The sequence below is a fragment of the Homo sapiens genome, chromosome 22 (assembly GCF_000001405.40).
Source record: "Homo sapiens chromosome 22, GRCh38.p14 Primary Assembly".
Classification (NCBI taxonomy): domain Eukaryota; kingdom Metazoa; phylum Chordata; class Mammalia; order Primates; family Hominidae; genus Homo; species Homo sapiens.
The window spans coordinates 46,616,962-46,633,951 of NC_000022.11; the positions used below are offsets into that span (position 1 = coordinate 46,616,962).

Consider the following 16,990-nt stretch of genomic DNA (forward strand, 5'->3'; position numbering starts at 1 on the left):
AGGTTCCCCTGTGCGTGTAGGTTCCCCCGTGTGTAGGTTCCCCTGTGCGTGTGGGTTCCCCCGTGTGTAGGTTCCCCTGTGCGTGTGGGTTCCCCCGTGTGTAGGTTCCCCTGTGCGTGTGGGTTCCCCCATGTGTAAGTTCCCCTGTCCGTGTAGGTTCCCCCATGTGTAGGTTCCCCTGTGTGTGTAGGTTCCCCCGTGTGTAGGTTCCCCTGTGCGTGTAGGTTCCTCCGTGTGTAGGTTCCCCTGTGCGTGTGGGTTCCCCCATGTGTAAGTTCCCCAGTGTGTAGGTTCCCCTGTGCTTGTGGGTTCCCCCGTGTGTAGGTTCTGCTGTGCATGTAGGTTCCCCTGTGTGTACGTTCCCCTAAGCATGTAGGTTCCCCCGTGTGTAGGTTCTCCCATGTGTGCGGGTTCCCCTGTGTGTGCAGCTTCCCCTGTGCTTGCAGGTTCCCCTGTGTGTAGGTTCCCCTGGGTGTAGGTTCCCCCCATACGTGTAGGTTCCCCTGTGTGTAGGTTCCCCTGTGCGTGTAGGTTTCCCCGTGTGTAGGTTCCCTTGTGCGTGTAGGTTCCCTTGTGCGTGTAGGTTCCTCTGTGTTGGGTCCTTAAACATTAACCAGCTCCTTCCTCCCCAGGCCTGGGCAGGATCCCAGCACACAGAGGAAGAAGCGGAGACTCACGTAGGCATCTCCTGGCCCTCCCAGTCTTCCTGACTGTCTCTCCTGGGCCACGCTGGCAAGTGGCCCCAGAGCGGGCCATACACCGTGCTGGCATTAGCACCCCAGGGTGTGCTTAGCCCTGGGCCCGCTCCCTGGCCCCCCTGGGTGGCTTCCCTGTCACAGTGCAGAAGGCTCAGCTCCCCACATGGGGTTCCAGCCTGACCCTCGTATGACTCAAGCCTGAAGATACTTTGCCAAGGGAAGGAATTCAGGTTTCTTCCTGGAGAAACATCCCAGATCACTGAAGGCTTGTAGTTAAAAGTTTTTGTGTATTCAGGGACGCTGTGCTTTGGCAGGGCCCAAGGCAGAGTCCATGGGTGTCCCTAGTCCATGGGTGTCCCTTTCTCTTGAGGCCTCTGGCAGAGGAAAGAAAGCTCAGCTGGTGGCTGCGGGCTCAGGCTGGCGGGGACCCCCCAGCCGTGGCATCTGGGCTGCCTTTGTGTGTCGCTCCCTCACTCTCTGAACAAGTGTTTGTCACTGCCCACCACGTGCCAAGCTCTGCAGAGGGAGACTCGGGTGCCTGCAGCTCGAGTCCACCTGAGCATCACCGGCAGAGCCGAGCCCCTGGAGACTTAGCCAGACACAGCCCCTGCCCCGGGGGAGCACCAGGCGGGTTCTAACCAAGCAGGACTGGAGGCACAAGCGCTAAACAAGGAAGCCATCAGGGCAATCCAAGGACCCCACGTCAAACCAAACAGGATGGTGGAATGACAGCGGGCGGCGCCTAGGGAATGGGGCAAATGAGCGACGTCCCGGAGCCAAACGTGTCGGGCCCTGCAGTGGGGACAGAGGCGGTGGTCGGAGGGTTGCAAAGGGGGTCGGCAGAGCTGCAGCCAAGCCTAGATGAGCCAGAGCTGATGAGGGTGTCGGGGGAGCAGCCGTGTTGACCCGGGTGCGTGGAAGCCCCTGGAGAACTTTGGCAGGGGCGCTGCAGAGGCTGATTTTGCCTTTGAAGGCCTCACCATGCTTGCCATGTGGAGAAGGCTTCGGGAGGCACGCGGCTGCCTGGACCAGGCTGGGGTGGTGGGGAGAGGGGAGGCACGCGGCTGCCTGGACCAGGCTGGGGTCGTGGGGAGAGGTGGACAGATGTGCAGCCCCGTCTGGAGGCGTGCGGCCGGCGTGCGCTGCAGGTTGGCAGTGGAGTGAGGAACGGGGCTATCAAGGGCTCTTGAGGGTTTCACCCAGACAGCTGGTGGACACGGTGCCATCCAGTCAGAGTGCCCCTTGAGACCCGAGTCTGTGCCAGGCGTGGCATAGTTGAGATACTGGTGAGCTGTCCGGCTTGGAGCCTGCAGGGAGGCCAGGTCAGGGGGCAGGGTTGAGAGCAGCCAAACACCCGGATACGGACATCAGCATTTGAGGCCGCCTGACTGTGCCCAGCTGGCAGGACTGAGGCCTGAATCCAGGGAGGGGATGAAACTCCTGGACAAGCCTTGAGTTTGGGGCAGCACACATGTCATCAGTTGTGAGCCGACCTCTTGAGGCTGATGTTGGAACAATAGTGGCCAAGGTCGGGCACGGGCTGGAAGGGCAGGATCTGCAGTCTCAGGACCCCAGAGGGCCCAGGGAGCTGTGTGTGTGCTGGGTCCTTGGGCCTCTTTGCATCAGGAGTTAGGGAGGTGCAAGTATGTGGCTGTAAGCATGGGGACATTGGGGTGGATGTTTTTGTTTTGTTCTTAGAGACAAGGTCTGGCCCTCACCCAGGCTGGAGTGCAGTGGTACGATCGTGGTTCACCGCAGCCTCAAACTCCCAGGTTCCCAGGCGATCCTCCTGCCTCAACCTTCTGAGCAACTGGGACTGTAGGCACGTACCACCACGCTGGCTCATGTTCTTATTTCACTTTCTGTGTCACTGCATTGCCCACCTCAGCCTCTCAAAGTGCTGGGATTACAGGCCTGAGCCCTGGTGCCTGGCTGGCGATGGGGTATTGGTAGAACCAGGCCTTCTTTGCTGGCCGCCCCCGGTCCTCCTGTTCACTCTGCAAAGCCCTGGAGTCTGCCAGCTGCCCCATCCTCACGTCCTCTTCAGCTGCCCAGGTTGGCTGTCCAGCTGCTGGTCTAACCTCCATCCAGGCCTTTCTGACAGTGAGGTTTAGGGGCTACCTTCCCTAGAGGACTGAGACTTGGAGGAGGGCCAGGTGGGGGCTGGGGCCCACTGCAGTGGGGGTGGGGGAGGTGTGTCTGTGTCGCTCAACATCTGCGAGTCCCCCAGGGACATTGCTTAGGAGGGCTGGCGGCTGTGGGAAAGCGGATGCTGTTTATCCCAGGATCAGCAGGAGAGCCGCCAGATAATAAGGGGATGAAGGGCGTGCCAGCAGCCGGGCCCTGATGTGGAGGTCAGCTGTGATCCAGGGACCCAGAACTCGGAGAGGAACTTTAGCAGGGGAGATGGTGTGAAGGAGACACGGCTCAGGGCAAGCGCCAGAGACCAGGAACCACTTTTTTTTTTTTAAATCTTGGGCTGGGGAAGGGGAAATAAAGTCCTTTGCGGTTTCTGAGTCCAGGGTTCCCTAGACACTGTTGCCTTTGTGTGTCCAGAAGCAATTCAGCGGTTTCCAGAGCAGCATGCTTTTGTGTTCCAGGGCTGGCTGGCCCAATTCCGTCCTGCTTGCAGAGAGGGCCTGGAGCCTGGCCGGGCGCCGCCCTGAGCCTGGGGGATCCTGGGAGAACCTGGACAGCCGTGGTGAGCCCTGCTGCCCTGCTCTGGTGCACAGGACTGGAGTCCTCCAGGCTCCAGGGCAGCAGACACCACCCTCTCCGTGCCTGCTGGTGTTGGGCGGCTTGGAGGCTATGGTTCCTGGGTCCTCGTAGCACATCCTGGTTCTGGGCCAGGACCTGAAGGAGCCACAGTGAAAGAGTGTTTCTGGATGTATCTGAGACAGACGGAGGTAGGGGGCAGGGGGCAGGGGGCAGGGGGACATGGTAGGGCCCATCTGAGTGGAAGCCCCAGCCTTGGGAAAAGCTGCTACTCTCTGGGGCAGTGGTCCCAGCTACCACGTGCTCTTCTGGAGCCATCTTGATCTTGAAAGGCAGGCTCCCTCCCAAGGCCGGGTGCAGGCCAGACCCCACCGGTAAAGCACCTGCGCAGCCCGGGGCCAGGGGTCCAGTGAGGAAGGGTGGAGGCCTCCTGAGAACCTGGCCTGGTCAGGAGGGCCGGCAAGAGGAGGAGCCTCCCAGGAAGCCCCTCAGAACCTGACAGGACGAGAGGAAGGGAGGCCGATCTGAGAGGGAGGGAGGCCCATCCGAGAGGGAGGAGGCCGATCTGAGAGGGCCGCATGGCTCGGAGTTGCAGGGGCCCTGGGCTGCCAGGGGTGGGCCTGTAGGTGCAGGTGGAGGGGCTGGTCCTGGGGAGAGCGGCTGGGCTGCAGGCTGAGGAGCTGGGCTTCCTCCAGGGACCGTGGAGGGGGTGGGGATGGGCAGCTAGAAGTGGGGAGGGCAGGGGCCGTCTGGTTGGGGATGCGCGGCTGCAGCACGCAGGACGGAAGGTGCAGGTGAGACGCAGGTGGGCGGTGTCGGGAGACCCGGGTCTGGCCTGAGGTGCAGCCTGGAGCTATGCTCAGTGTGTAGACGGGCCTTGGTTCCTGCATCTGTAAGTTGGGCGTGTGCTGGGTAATAGTGTCCTCCCCCAAAATTCATGTCCACCTCGTACCTGTGGACCCGACCTTACTTGGAAATGGCTCTTTGCAGATGTCACTGAGATGAAGTCACCCTGGTGTACAGTGGAGCACTCTTCAGTGCAGTGCGGGGGCTGCCCATGTGGCCGTGGAGGGCACCCCTACCCCGGTGCAGGCGCAGGCTGGAGGCGTAGCCCGGGCCCATCCCTGGCGGTGTGTCGCGGAGGGCACCCCTACCCCGGTGCAGGCGCAGGCTGGAGGCGTAGCCCGGGCCCATCCCTGGCGGTGTGTCGCGGAGGGCACCCCTACCCCGGTGCAGGCGCAGGCTGGAGGCGTAGCCCGGGCCCATCCCTGGCAGTGTGTCGCGGAGGGCACCCCTACCCCGGTGCAGGCACAGGCTGGAGGCGTAGCCCGGGCCCGTCCCTGGCGCTGTGTCGCGGAGGGCACCCCTACCCCGGTGCAGGCGCAGGCTGGAAGTGTAGCCCGGGCCCATCCCTGGTGGTGAAGGCTGGAAGGTCCATCCCTGGCAGTGTGTGGTGACATGTGTCGTGACATGGAGTTTGATTCTTAACTGACCGAAGCTTGAAAAGTCTGTCTTTTTGATGGACCCAGGGAGTTGGGTGAGGAGGGTGGTGGAGTCAGTGGGGCTGAGAGCAGGGTCGTCTAGGACCCTGATGTGTGGACGCCCTCCCCAAGGGCCGCTGTGAACCATCCAGCAGGATGACCCTGGGTTTGGGGCTGAGCCGGTGGCTGGGAGAGCAGACTGAGGAGTAGCTGGACACTGGCGGGGCACGCATTGCATTCTGATGGTGACAGGCGGGACACTCAGGGCCTTTGTCCCCTCTCTCATTGCCTCATTTGCTTGCCTGAGGTGATTGGGAAGGCAGCCCTGGCCTCGGAATTACAGCCTCCCAGACAAGGGGGCTGTCCTCTGCCCAGAGCCCTGCAGGCAGCCAAGAGTTCTGTGCGTGTCCAAGCGTGTCCCCTGCTTTCCTTGGGTGGAGGCCAGCTCGGTGCCCTACACAGGGCCTGCAGGCCCCAGCGCCCGGGTCATCCCCTCCGCTTCCCTCTCAGCTGCCGCAACCAGGAGGACTCGCCGGGTTTTTGAAAATGGAAGGAAGTAGGTTTTACATTGCTACACTTCCCCTAGCCCGTTCATCCTTCCTTTTTAAACATTAAAAAGCAGTAAAAATGGTGGTTACCGGGGGCTTGGGGAGGGCATGGGAGTTCCTATTCAGTGAGCAGAGTTTCAGTTAGACAAGACGAGTCCGGAGGCAGCCGCTCAGCATCACAGATGTAATTTATGCCACGGAGCTGCACGCTAAAAACTGGTGAAGTTGGGCTGAGCACGGCGGCTCACGCCTGTAATCCCAGCACTTTGGGAGGCCGAGGCGGGTGGATCACGAGGTCAGGAGATTGAGACCATCCTGGCTAACATGGCGAAACTCCGTCTCTACTAAAAATACAAAAAATTAGCTGGTGTGGTGGCGGGTGCCTGTAGTCCCAGCTACTCGGGAGGCTGAGGCAGGAGAATGGCGTGAACCCAGGAGGCGGATCTTGCAGTGAGCCGAGATCACGCCACTGCACTCCAGCCTGGGCGACAGAGCAAGACTCCATCTCTAAAAAAAAAAAAAAAAAAACTGATGAAATTGGTAATATTTATATTATGTGTGTTTTACCGTAATTAAAAAATATTGTGGGAAAAGAAGTAATAGGGAGGCATTTTAGGAGATTTGGAGAGAGAATTGTTAACGACCACCGTAAGCCCATACTCCCGACGTCTGGCCCCATAGCGCCCGAGTCTCTTCACGCACCTGTTTGCCATAACGACAGTCACAGGAAGGTCCCGGTTTTAGTTGCCTTCATCCCTTTACAAGGACGGGGTCCTGTGTGGGTCCACCAGGGTGCTCCAGGACCCCCTGCCCTGCTGGTCTTGATGGATGGTGTGTGACGTGTTTCCCCCCACCAGGCCTCCACTTCTTGAGCTTGGTCCTAGGGTCCTGGTACTGAGTTGTGGGGTGGCCGGTTGAGGGGGCGTCTGTGTGCTTGCTCTGCCGCATTCCGCAGCCCGGGTTAGCTTTAGTTTCCTTTCTTTATTTTATTTTATTTTTTTTGACACAGAGTCTCACGCTGCCCCCCAGGCTGCAGTGCAGTGGTGCAGTCTCGGCTCATTGCAAGCTCCGCCTCCCGGGTTCATGCCATTCTCCTGCCTCAGCCTCCTGAGTAGCTGGGACGCTTGGACTACAGGTGCCCGCCACCTTGCCTGGCTGACTTTTTTGTATTTTTAGTAGAGATGCAGTTTCACCGTGTTAGCCAGGATGGTCTCGATGTCCTGACCTCGTGATCCGCCCGCCCCGGCCTCCCAAAGTGCTGAGATTACAGGCATGAGCCACCATGCCCGGCCTAGTTTCCTTTCTAGTGAGCTTGAAGGTTTTCGCGTATTAGGAAGTGGTCTTGTCATTTTTGCTACATTGACTACATTGTCAAGCTGCCTTTTTTTTTTTTTTTTAAACAGAGTCTTGCTCTGTTGCCCAGGCTGGAGTGCAGTGGCGTGATCTCGGCTCACTGCAACCTCCACCTCCCGGGTTCAAGCAATTCTCCTGCCTCACTCTTCCAAGTAGCTGGGATTGTAGGCGCACATCACCTCGCCCAGCTAATTTTTGTATTTTAAGCAGAGATGGAGGTTCGCCATGTTGACCAGGCTGGTCTCAGACTCCTGACCTCAAGTGATCCACTCACCTCGGCCTCACAAAATGCTGGGATTACAGGTGCCAGCCACCGCACCTGGCCTAGTCAAGTTGTCTTGTAACATGGATATTAATCCTTCATGTATCATATTTGTTACCTGTATTCCTTGTTTTATAGCGTATTTTGACATTTTTTACTTTCTTTTTACAAATGAGAGCTTTTTACTTTTGCCTGGTGGCCTGTTAGACATTTTTACTTAGTGGCTTTTTTTTTTTCAGTCCCTTAATATAGACTCTTCCATCTTCTTCTCTCTAGGGATTTCATAGCTACTAAGTTCCCTCTTCCTTTTTTTTTTTTTTTTTTTTTTTTTCTGAGACGGAGTCTCACTGCCCAGGCTGGAGTGCAATAGTGTGATCTTGGCTCACTGCAAGCTCCGCCTCCCGGGTTCAAGCAATTCCTCTGCCTCCGTCTCCTGAGTAGCTGGGACTACAGGTGCCCGCCACCACACCCAGCTAATTTTTGTATTTTTAGTAGAGACAGGGTTTCACCATGTTGGCCAGATGGTCTCGAACTCCTGCCCTCGTGATCCGCCTACCTTGGCCTCCCAAAGTGCTGGGATTACAGGCGTGAACCACTGCTCCCAGCTGTTCTCTTTTCTTTTAAGGTTTGTGTGTTTTTAAATTGACTGAACCTTTAGTCCCTCTGCAATTTGTAGCTCCTATATGGGAAGCTTTTCCAAATGGCTGGCTCATGCTCCCTCAGCCTATGAGCAGCAGTTGCTACCTCCCCATCACCCACATCCCCCTCCTGGGGTCCTCCCAGCTTCCAGGGGATGCTGGGCATCAGGACAGCTCCCCGTAGAGCCTGTGTCCTGTGGGATTTTTTTTTTTTTTTTTTTTGAGACAGAGTCTCGCTCTGTCACCCAGGCTGGAGTGCAGTGGCGGGATCTCAGCTCACTTCAAGCTCCGCCTCCTGGGTTCATGCCATTCTCCTGCCTCAGCCTCCTGAGTAGCTGGGACTACAGGCGCCCACCACCACGCCCGGCTAATTTTTTGTATTTTTAGTAGAGATGGGGTTTCACCGTGTCAGCCAAGATGGTCTCAATCTCCTGACCTTGTGATCCGCCCGCCTCGGCCTCCCAAAGTGCTGGAATTACAGGCGTGAGCCACCGCGCCCAGCGTCCTGTGGGTTTTGCAGCAGGGCCGGCATCAGGAATACTCAAGTGCCCATCCCAGGAGAGCCTCCCCTCCCCTCACCATGCTGGGAACCTCCGCGCCTCTGTGGCTCAGAGTGGGTTCTAGTGCGTTCTGTGTCTTCGGTCCTCACTGTTAATGAGTCTTCTTGCCACGAACTGTGATGCTGAGGAGAGCGGAGGAGGCTTTGGGGGCGGGGCAGGCATGTAGGAGCTGGAGCTGACCTTGCTCTCAGTGCTTCCTTGCCATGCTGCCCGCCCCAAGCAGGAAGTTTGGGAAATACCCCCGCCAGGGATCACTCCCCGCCCCATCTCCTTGCTCCTGGCCCAGTTGCCCTGTCTTCTTGAATTCCTGGATACCTTTGCCTTACTGGCATCTTTCCATTTTCAGAGGCAAAAATGTCAGCTCAGAAAGCTGGTCAGTGGCAGGACAGGCTTTCAGCCCAGGTGTGTACAGAGCAGTCCTCCCACGGGGACCCAGTTGTCTTGGACAAGTTGGGGACGGGGTTTTGGGAGAGGCATCCAGGCCATGGAGCTGCGTGATGGGGCTGGGGCTGGGTGGCCTCTCCCTGCCTGGCTGGCCCCTCCTGTGGGCCACTGATCCTGGCCTCCAGGCTTTTGGGGGTGCCTTGGTGTTGCTGGCCAGGTCGGGCAGCGATGTGGGGAGCAGTACCCCACGGCACATCCGCCCTTTGGCACGTGGTGTGTGTGAATTACGCGTGTCCTGATGCAGCACACAGTGACTCGCACCTCAGTGTGACCAGGTTTCTGTGTTGATTGGAGGAGGAGGCAGGCATGGGGGCTGGGACAGGAGGCCCAGCTGGCCATGGGTGCCTGACCCCGCTGTCTCTGGGAGGGCTTCTGGGAGGTGGTGCGATCTGAATGTGTCTCAGAGTATGAGCCTGGTCGCATGGCGAGTAGGAACACGCTTTAGGCAGAGGGAGCAGTGTGGGCGGAGTCCTGGGAGCCGGGGCCAGGTGGAGCAGGTGGGACACAAGGCCAGGTCCCCTAGGTCCAGGAGAGAATCAACCGAGGCATCCCTAGCACACGCATCTGCTGGTTTCCAGGCGTGGCTGCCGTCCTGGTGGTGTATGTGGCCGTCGTGTTGACCACGTTCTTGACGGTTTGTTAGGCAACCTTTTGGCATGGCTGGCCCTCCTTCCCAATGCCAGAGCAGCATTCTTCCCTTGCGCCTGCGCGCCGCCTCGCCGAGCCAGGCTGAGAACCCTGGCTTCCTTCTGCCTGCTGGGAGCCGGGGGCCTCGCTTGGTGGGAGGCAAGGACGCAGCTCAGCACTGACCAGGCTGGCCTGGGTGGGGTGGCCAAGGGCCCCACCTGATGGGTGCAGGGCGGGGGTCTCTGGGTCGGGGTTTTCTTTGGAAAGCTGGACCGGCCGTGCCCTGCGTGTGGGAGCTGGCTCGTGGGGCTTGGAGGTGTGTGTGGGAGGGACGGTGGCAGGGCGGGGTCTCTGGGTCGGGGTTTTCTTTGGAAAGCTGGACCGGCTGTGCCCTGTGTGTGGGAGCTGGCTCGTGGGGCTTGGAGGTGGCGAGCGGGAGAGTGACCACGCCCCTCTCTTGCAGGGAACCCGAGCGTCATGTTAGGGTGAAGCAGAGGACCTCAGTGCTGAACATGCTAAGGAGGTTGGACAAAATCAGGTTCAGAGGTCACAAGAGAGATGACTTCCTCGATCTAGCGGAGTCTCCAAATGCCTCGGACACCGAATGCAGCGACGAAATCCCCCTGAAGGTACCGCGGACCTCGCCCCGGGACAGCGAGGAGCTGAGGGACCCTGTGAGTACCTGTCCTCGTCCCCCGGTGTGGGCTGGGGTGTCGTCCCCGTCCTCTGTGGCCGGGCCAAGCGTGGACTCAGGCAGATTCGTGTCCTGCCCATGCTGGTCAGAGATGGACTGGGCCTGACTCTCTGTCTCACCTGCTCCCGACCCCTGCAGACCTTGTGGGGCCGGGGTGCTGCCACGCCGAGCCTTCTGTGTTCGCAGGTCTGATTAGCGGCTGGATTGGTTTTCCTCACTGGCTTTTCTGGGTGGGTGGCAGACTTCTCACGCACATGTGACGCGGAAGCCTCGGCCTGGCCCTGGGAGCGTTGACATGCGGATGGAGCAGGGCGGGCGTTGTCTGGAAGCCGCTGGTGCCTGGCTTGTCTTCTATTCAAGCCAAGGTGCACGTTTCCAGCCCCCAAAGCTGGCTAAGCCCAGGCTGGGCCCTCATCAGCCACGCGGAATCAGGGCTGGGCTTGTGGCCAGCTGGGGGGACAGCAAATACCCACGGAGCACCTCAGCTAGGCCCTGGGCCCTGGGTGGGAGCCAGGTGGGGAGCCAGGCGGGAGCCAGGCAGGAGCAGGCCCTGCCTTGCAGAAACTTGCATTTGGTGGGGGGTGGGGCAGGGCCCGAAGCATGGTGGGTTGGGCTCCCTGCGGCCCCTCCTCTGGCCCAGCATGGCCTCTAGCTCCTCCCCGCATGCACACACCAAATTTGGTGTCTGGCTGGTTTCCTCCTCCAGCCCCTGAGCCAGGTCTTCTTTCCAGGTGTGGCCTGGGAGCGCCGGCCTTCCCTGGCTCCTTGCGTTGCTAATGCTTTATAACAGGACAGTGACTGTGCGTTGCTTTCAGCAGGAATTAATAATTTACTGCTGCTGCTGCTCTCTCGACACTGCCCGATCAGGCAGGTGGGGCCGCTTGGCTTCCTGGGGCATCACTACAGACCACAGAGTGCCCGGCCTGCCGGGATCGGCCATCCCCAGGCAAAGGTTGTGGTTGGTCCTGGGGGTGGACCGGGACCCCGGTAGGGTGTCTGCCCTTGTGCAGGTTATGTGGCAGAACGGCAGGGGCCTGCCTTCGCCGGAGAGCTGTGTCTCATCCGCCTCTGGCTGGGGCTGGCACAGAGGGCATGGGTCACGATTCTCCGATGGTGGTCTGTGTGCTGAGCATGTGGTGGGTGTCTCGGGAACAAAAATCTCCCTCCCGACACATACATGGTTCAACAGGGAGGGGTGACGGGGATTCCACGCAAAGGCCAGAGCGGGGCTGTTTCCCCAGCTCCCTCTCCGCCATCCGTCTGTCCTGCTCCAGGTGTTGTCTCGGTAGGGACCCTCCCGCCTGAGGGACCCTGTGAGTACCTGTCCTTGTCCCCTGGTGTGGGCTGGGGTTTCGTCCCTGTCCTCTGTGGCCGGGCCAAGCATGGACTCAGGCAGGTTCGTGTCCTGCCCATGCTGGTCAGAGACGGACTGAGTGTGTGCGTGGTGTCTGAGGGGCGGGTGGACTGAGTGTGTGCGTTGGTGTCTGAGGGGCGGGTGGACTGAGTGCGTTGGTGTCTGAGGGGCGGGTGGACTGAGTGTGTGCGTGGTGTCTGAGGGGCAGGTGGACTGAGTGTGTGCGTGGTGTCTGAGGGGCAGGTGGACTGAGTGTGTGCGTGGTGTCTGAGGGGCGGGTGGACTGAGTGTGTGCGTTGGTGTCTGAGGGGCAGGTGGAGGGCTGCAGTGAGGGGGCCAGGGCCAGGGTTGCAGGTATTGGTCTGGTTGGAGCAGCAGGAGGTAGGGCTGTGGGATCATGGGAGTCTTCACCTGGGGCAGAACATCTGGATTTGGGGGGCATCAGGGATCCCCTTCGGGGGAGGGTCAGTGTCAGAGCTGGCCGCTCCAGGGTGATGTCTGGGGAGTAGCTTGGAGAATGTGGCTCCTGGGGGTGGCAGAGGGTATGGCGCTAGCGGTGTTGCTGGCGTCACAGGAGAGGCAGGCCGTGGTCTGGACCAGCTCTGGTGGGCAGGTGGTGGTCCACGAGGTACAAGGGGGCTTGAGGGGGCATGTTGAGTTGAGAGGGAGCCCACCGAGTAGGGGCAAATGCTGCAGAGGCCAGGGCAAGGTCAGCCTGTGGACTGGGGCCCCCCTTCCTCGAGGCTGTGAGGGGCTGCGGGGGGAAACCACCTCAGGGACTCGGACGTCTGGAAACCCAGGAGATTCCTAGTGTGGGTGAGCAGGGCCCCGCTTGGGGCATCGTGCTGAATGCAGGTCAGGCACTGACTGCAGAGACCAGGCTGAGTTCCTTAGCTGTGTAACCTGGACCTGAGCCTCAGTATCCTCAGCTTTTAAGGGGGACGGCAGTCTCGTCCACCCCCAGGCCTGCTTTAAGGATCAAATGAGATAATAAGTGAAACGTACGTGGCTGGCGTCTTGCTTATGGTTAGCTTGGAGGGAGTTGTAATTATTAATGACCGTGAAATACTGATTCGCTAAACCCTCCTCCTGGTTCCAGGGCTCCTTTGCGAAGCCTCGTTCCTGTAGCACGTTGACACTGCTCCGGCCCAGGCTCACGAGGCCCCCGGGGTGGGGGGCTGTGCAGCGTTGCCCTGCTCCTTCCGAGGTCCCCTCTCATCACCCTTCTTTACACGGGCAGCCTCCCAGAAACATCCTGAGACCTGGGCTCAGGCACAGAGGCCTTGGGGGTTGGTTTTATAACAGCTTAATCGAGATATTCCCACCGGGTATACAGTATACAGTTCACCCACTAAAAGTGTGCGACTCAGGGGTTTCTATTAATAGCATATTTACAATGCTGTGCTACCATTACTACAGTTTTAAAAGGTTTTTATCACCTGAAAGAGACCCCGTTCCTTTCACAGTCACTCCCATTTCCCTTGGCCACCGGCCCCACCAGCTGCCAGCCTGCTTTCTGTCGATGGATTTGCCCATATGGGGCATCTCATATAACATGAGGCCTCGTGTGTCTGTCCTTTGCTCGCATAAGGGACGCGAGGTTCATCCATGCTGCGGTGTGCATTGGTGCCGCCTGCCTTTTTATGGCTGAACCTGTTTCATCATATGGCCAGGCCACATTTTCTTTTTCTTATTCTTTTTTTTTTTGAGACAGAGTCTCACTCTGTCACCCAGGCTGGAGTGCAGTGGTGTGATCTCGGCTCACTGCAACCTCCACCTCCCAGGTTCAAGCGATTCTCGTGCCTCAGCCTCCTAAGTAGCTGGGATTACAGGCACACACCACCACGCCCGGCTAATATTTTGTATTTTTATTAGAGACGGGGTTTCGCCGTGTTGCCCAGGCTGTTCTCGAACTCCTGAGCTCAGGCAATCCACCCGCCTCAGCCTCCCAGAGTGCTGGGATTACAGACGTGAGCCACCGCGCCCGACCTGTTGTCTTTATTCATTGATCTGTTGTGGGCGCTTGGGCAGTTCCATTCTTGGACTGTGATGAATGAGGCTGAATGCCTGCGATTGAGTGTTTGTGTGCATGTGCTTCCACATGGTCTCGCTGGGCCATGCAGAGGCCCGAGATTGCCCTTTTCCAGGATCTACCGCATTCTCATGTGCAGCCGCGCCATGCTCCGTGCCCACCGGTAGGGTCTGAGGGTTTCCCTGGAGGGGCAGGTTCAGACCGGAGCCCACCTTGCAGCCTGGGGTGTTCTGACCGCCCCTCTCAGTGCTCCAGGAGCTCTTCCGTGGCGGACCCCAAGCAGCCTCACTCCTGGCAGCGGCTCAGGATCTCACCCTGGGATGTTCGTCACTTCAGCTAATCTGTCCCCACTGAGGGATCGCAGGTGCTTGTGGCTCTTAGCGTCCATCACTCCTGGCAGCCTGGTGCCCATGTGGGCTGCGGCACTTTTGGTGGAAGTGCTGGACCGAGTGTGCCTGTGTGGTGGTCCTGGCAGCTGTGCGGTGTGCCCTCCATAGCCCCCCGAGGGCCGTGTGCCCTCACCCCGGCCTCCGCAGTGTGCCCTCCATAGCTCCCTCGAGGGCCGTGTGCCCTCACCCCGGCCTCTGCAGTGTGCCCTCCATAGCTCCCTCGAGGGCCATGTGCCCCCACCCCGGCCTCCACGCTGTTCTCAGGCTTCTCTCTCCACCGCCCCGAGGGGCAAGACGGCAGTGCCGAGTGGCTGTAGGTTGCACGGCTTTTATTGTGCAGGAAGTTGGTCATCTTTGCACACATGTAGGCTTCATTCTTTTTATTTGTTGTGGTAAAATACACAGAGCATTGAATGTACCATTTTCATTTTCACTGTCAGTGTGCAGTTCAGGGGCACGGAGCACATGCCCTCTGTTGTGCCACCATCGCCACCTCCACCTCCACCTCCACCTCCAGAACCTTTCGTCATCCCAGACTGAGGCCCAGCACGTGTCACACGCCAGCTCCCTGGTGGGAATTCCTCCCTGCCACACCCCGGCAGCCTGCATTCCGCCTCCTGTCTCTGAATGTGACTCCTGGGGACCGGGGATGGGTAGAACCTCACAGCCTGTGTCCTTTCGTCTCCTGGGGACCGGGGATGGGTAGAACCTCACGGCCTGTGTCCTTTCGTCTCCTGGGGACCGGGGATGGGTAGAACCTCACGGCCTGTGTCCTTTCGTCTCCTGGGGACCGGGGATGGGTAGAACCTCACGGCCTGTGTCCTTTCGTCTCCTGGGGACCGGGGATGGGTAGAACCTCACGGCCTGTGTCCTTTCGTCTCCTGGGGACCGGGGATGGGTAGAACCTCACGGCCTGTGTCCTTTCGTCTCCTGGGGACCGGGGATGGGTAGAACCTCACGGCCTGTGTCCTTTCGTCTCCTGGGGACCGGGGATGGGTAGAACCTCACGGCCTGTGTCCTTTCGTCTCCTGGGGACCGGGGATGGGTAGAACCTCACGGCCTGTGTCCTTTCGTCTCCTGGGGACCGGGGATGGGTAGAACCTCACGGCCTGTGTCCTTTCGTCTCCTGGGGACCGGGGATGGGTAGAACCTCACGGCCTGTGTCCTTTCGTCTCCTGGGGACCGGGGATGGGTAGAACCTCACGGCCTGTGTCCTTTCGTCTCCTGGGGACCGGGGATGGGTAGACCCTTACGGCGTGTGTCTTTTCATCTCTGGCCGCTGTCACCAAGCACCATGTCCTCCAGGTGTGCTCCGCTTCATTCCTGCTTCCTTTCGTTGTGGGCTGTTTGTGTCCTGGGACAAAGTGGCTGAGAGTAGAACCCAGACCTGCTTGGGAGGGGAAGGTTGGAGGGGCCCTGGGTGGGCTTGAGGGGCCCACGAGGCTGGGCTGGGAAGGGGAGGTAAAGGTGGAAGAGACAGGTAACTGTGTGGCTGGTGCTGGCTGGAAGGAGAGGTGGCAAGAAGGAGGTGGGCATGCTTAGGGCTGGGGCAGCGTCTGGGGTGACCCCCGACCAGGAGGCAGGAGATGGGAGACGTCCCCAGAAGACCCACGCCCCATCTTGAGAGGGCTGCAGATTTCAGTTGAGGCAAAAGTTGGAGAAAATAGTTCTAGAAAAGCTGAAGAACTGAGAAATGGCCAGGCCTACCACTCTAGTTTTATAGTGACAGCGCCACAGCCTTGGTGTCCTGCACCCTTGGAGTTCTGAGTCCAGGCCTCTGACTCCAGCTCAGGGTGGCTCCTCTGTAGGTCTGAGAAGGGGTCAGCTGGAGGGACCCACAGGGCTTGCAGAAGGATTCAGACCCCAGCATTTCAGGGCAGCACCCCAGGGCCTTGTGTCCCAATAGGAGACCCCTTGTTCATTGGTGAGTCCTGCAGAGCCAGCCCTCACCACCCTGGTATCCAGGTGGCTCTCATCTGGGCTGTGGAATCCCAGGACTGGGTGGAGACCGTGGGGCCCAGCCCTCGTGGGCCTGGAGCAGCCATTGGAGACAGGGTTGGCACATGTGGATGGAGCCGGGTCACCCGCACGACGCTGCCTGTGCTTGCTGGGGAGGGTGCTGGGCGTGGCGGAGTTGAATTTTCCGCCTCTGCACTGGGCAGAGCCTTTCCACGCAGGCCTCTGGCCCCTTGCCACATGTCTGTTATGGGGACCCACACAGCCCCCCGCCCGGTGGGGATGGGGATGTGGAGGGAAGAGCATACTTATTTGTAGGGCTGAGTGGGCAGAGGCAGATGGGAGCCTCCAAGCTCTTCTCCAACTCAGCCTCCAGGAAGCAGCCCTGCCCAGGCTGACGTGCTGGAACAGGGTGGCACGGTCCAACTGTTTTCCCCAGGCCTCCCCGAAAGTATGCCACAGCCCAGGCTCCTCGGAAGCCAGGGGGCCCCCAGCTGCCCTGGTTCCATCCCTCTGCCCGCCCGTGGGCCTTCCTCCCCTGACCCCAGTGCCAGCATTGTCTGTCCTTGTCACAGGTGGGTACTGTTCTGAGTTGGGGCACTGGGACGTTTCCTGTGGGAATAGAGCTGTTTAAAGTGTGGCTCCCTCTCCTGCCCTCCCTGGGGAGCCCCCCACCTAATGAAGGTGGGGACTTGGATGAGGTGGCATGGATGCCCGTCCTCTCTTTGTCCCTGACTTCCAGGTAGCCTTTGCTCATGTCTGTCCCAGGGAAGGGCTGGCTGTGTGGGGCTGTTTCAGGGGCTCCTGATGAAGGCTGCTCCTGGCCCGGGAGCCCAGCAACTGGGGGCTCTGGCCGGCCCTGCTTTCTCCGTGGGTTGGCGTCCTTGCTGCTGCTGCCAACGGGAGTCCCCAGCTGGAGGAGGCCAAGGCCACTGGCTTCCTGGGGACCCCAGCCTGCCTTGTCACCAAGAAGAATGGGGTCCTCTCTCTCCAGCATCACTTGAGACAATCCCAGGAAGAATCCATTGTGGGAAAGGCAACCCCTAGTTCCGAGCAGGGTGTCCATGGGGTGTAGGCAGGAGGTGGGCTGGGTGGGCTCCGGGGGTCCCGGCCGTACAGGGGGTGTTTTCTGTCCTCAGTGTGGGGCTGGGACTTGGGATCCTTGATTGTTGTTTAGGCCGCCTTCCCGGTTAGAAAATTCATGATAAGCACTGAGGTCTCCCAGGCCAGGCCTCCATC

General features: G+C 59.5%; 1 protein-coding gene across 16 annotated transcripts in view, besides 4 other annotated features; it reads left to right on the forward strand.

Moving 5' to 3' along the window:
- Positions 1-16,990, forward strand: part of GRAMD4 (GRAM domain containing 4) — a 107,013-nt gene that overhangs the window by 41,218 nt on the left and 48,805 nt on the right. For 14 of the 16 annotated variants that reach the window (XM_006724169.2, XM_047441210.1, XM_011530012.2 and 11 more), the window contains one exon: positions 9,790-10,000. In XM_006724169.2, the coding sequence (XP_006724232.1) occupies positions 9,790-10,000 (211 nt within the window). Of the gene's footprint in view, positions 1-3,252; positions 3,400-3,424; positions 3,605-9,789; positions 10,001-16,990 lie in introns of those variants that run through there. The other 2 variants (XM_017028670.3, NM_015124.5) reach the window with 2 other exon arrangements.
- Positions 1,457-2,224: an enhancer, noted in NCBI's record as "H3K4me1 hESC enhancer chr22:47014315-47015082 (GRCh37/hg19 assembly coordinates)". NCBI's record gives its function as "activates a minimal SCP1, AML or CMV promoter by ChIP-STARR-seq in naive H9 embryonic stem cells {active_cell/tissue: H9 hESC(naive)}" and the evidence as "EXISTENCE:reporter gene assay evidence [ECO:0000049][PMID:30033119]".
- Positions 4,653-5,164: an enhancer, noted in NCBI's record as "H3K27ac-H3K4me1 hESC enhancer chr22:47017511-47018022 (GRCh37/hg19 assembly coordinates)". NCBI's record gives its function as "activates a minimal SCP1, AML or CMV promoter by ChIP-STARR-seq in primed H9 embryonic stem cells {active_cell/tissue: H9 hESC(primed)}" and the evidence as "EXISTENCE:reporter gene assay evidence [ECO:0000049][PMID:30033119]".
- Positions 10,321-11,106: an enhancer, noted in NCBI's record as "H3K27ac-H3K4me1 hESC enhancer chr22:47023179-47023964 (GRCh37/hg19 assembly coordinates)". NCBI's record gives its function as "activates a minimal SCP1, AML or CMV promoter by ChIP-STARR-seq in naive H9 embryonic stem cells {active_cell/tissue: H9 hESC(naive)}" and the evidence as "EXISTENCE:reporter gene assay evidence [ECO:0000049][PMID:30033119]".
- Positions 13,844-14,344: an enhancer, noted in NCBI's record as "H3K4me1 hESC enhancer chr22:47026702-47027202 (GRCh37/hg19 assembly coordinates)". NCBI's record gives its function as "activates a minimal SCP1, AML or CMV promoter by ChIP-STARR-seq in primed H9 embryonic stem cells {active_cell/tissue: H9 hESC(primed)}" and the evidence as "EXISTENCE:reporter gene assay evidence [ECO:0000049][PMID:30033119]".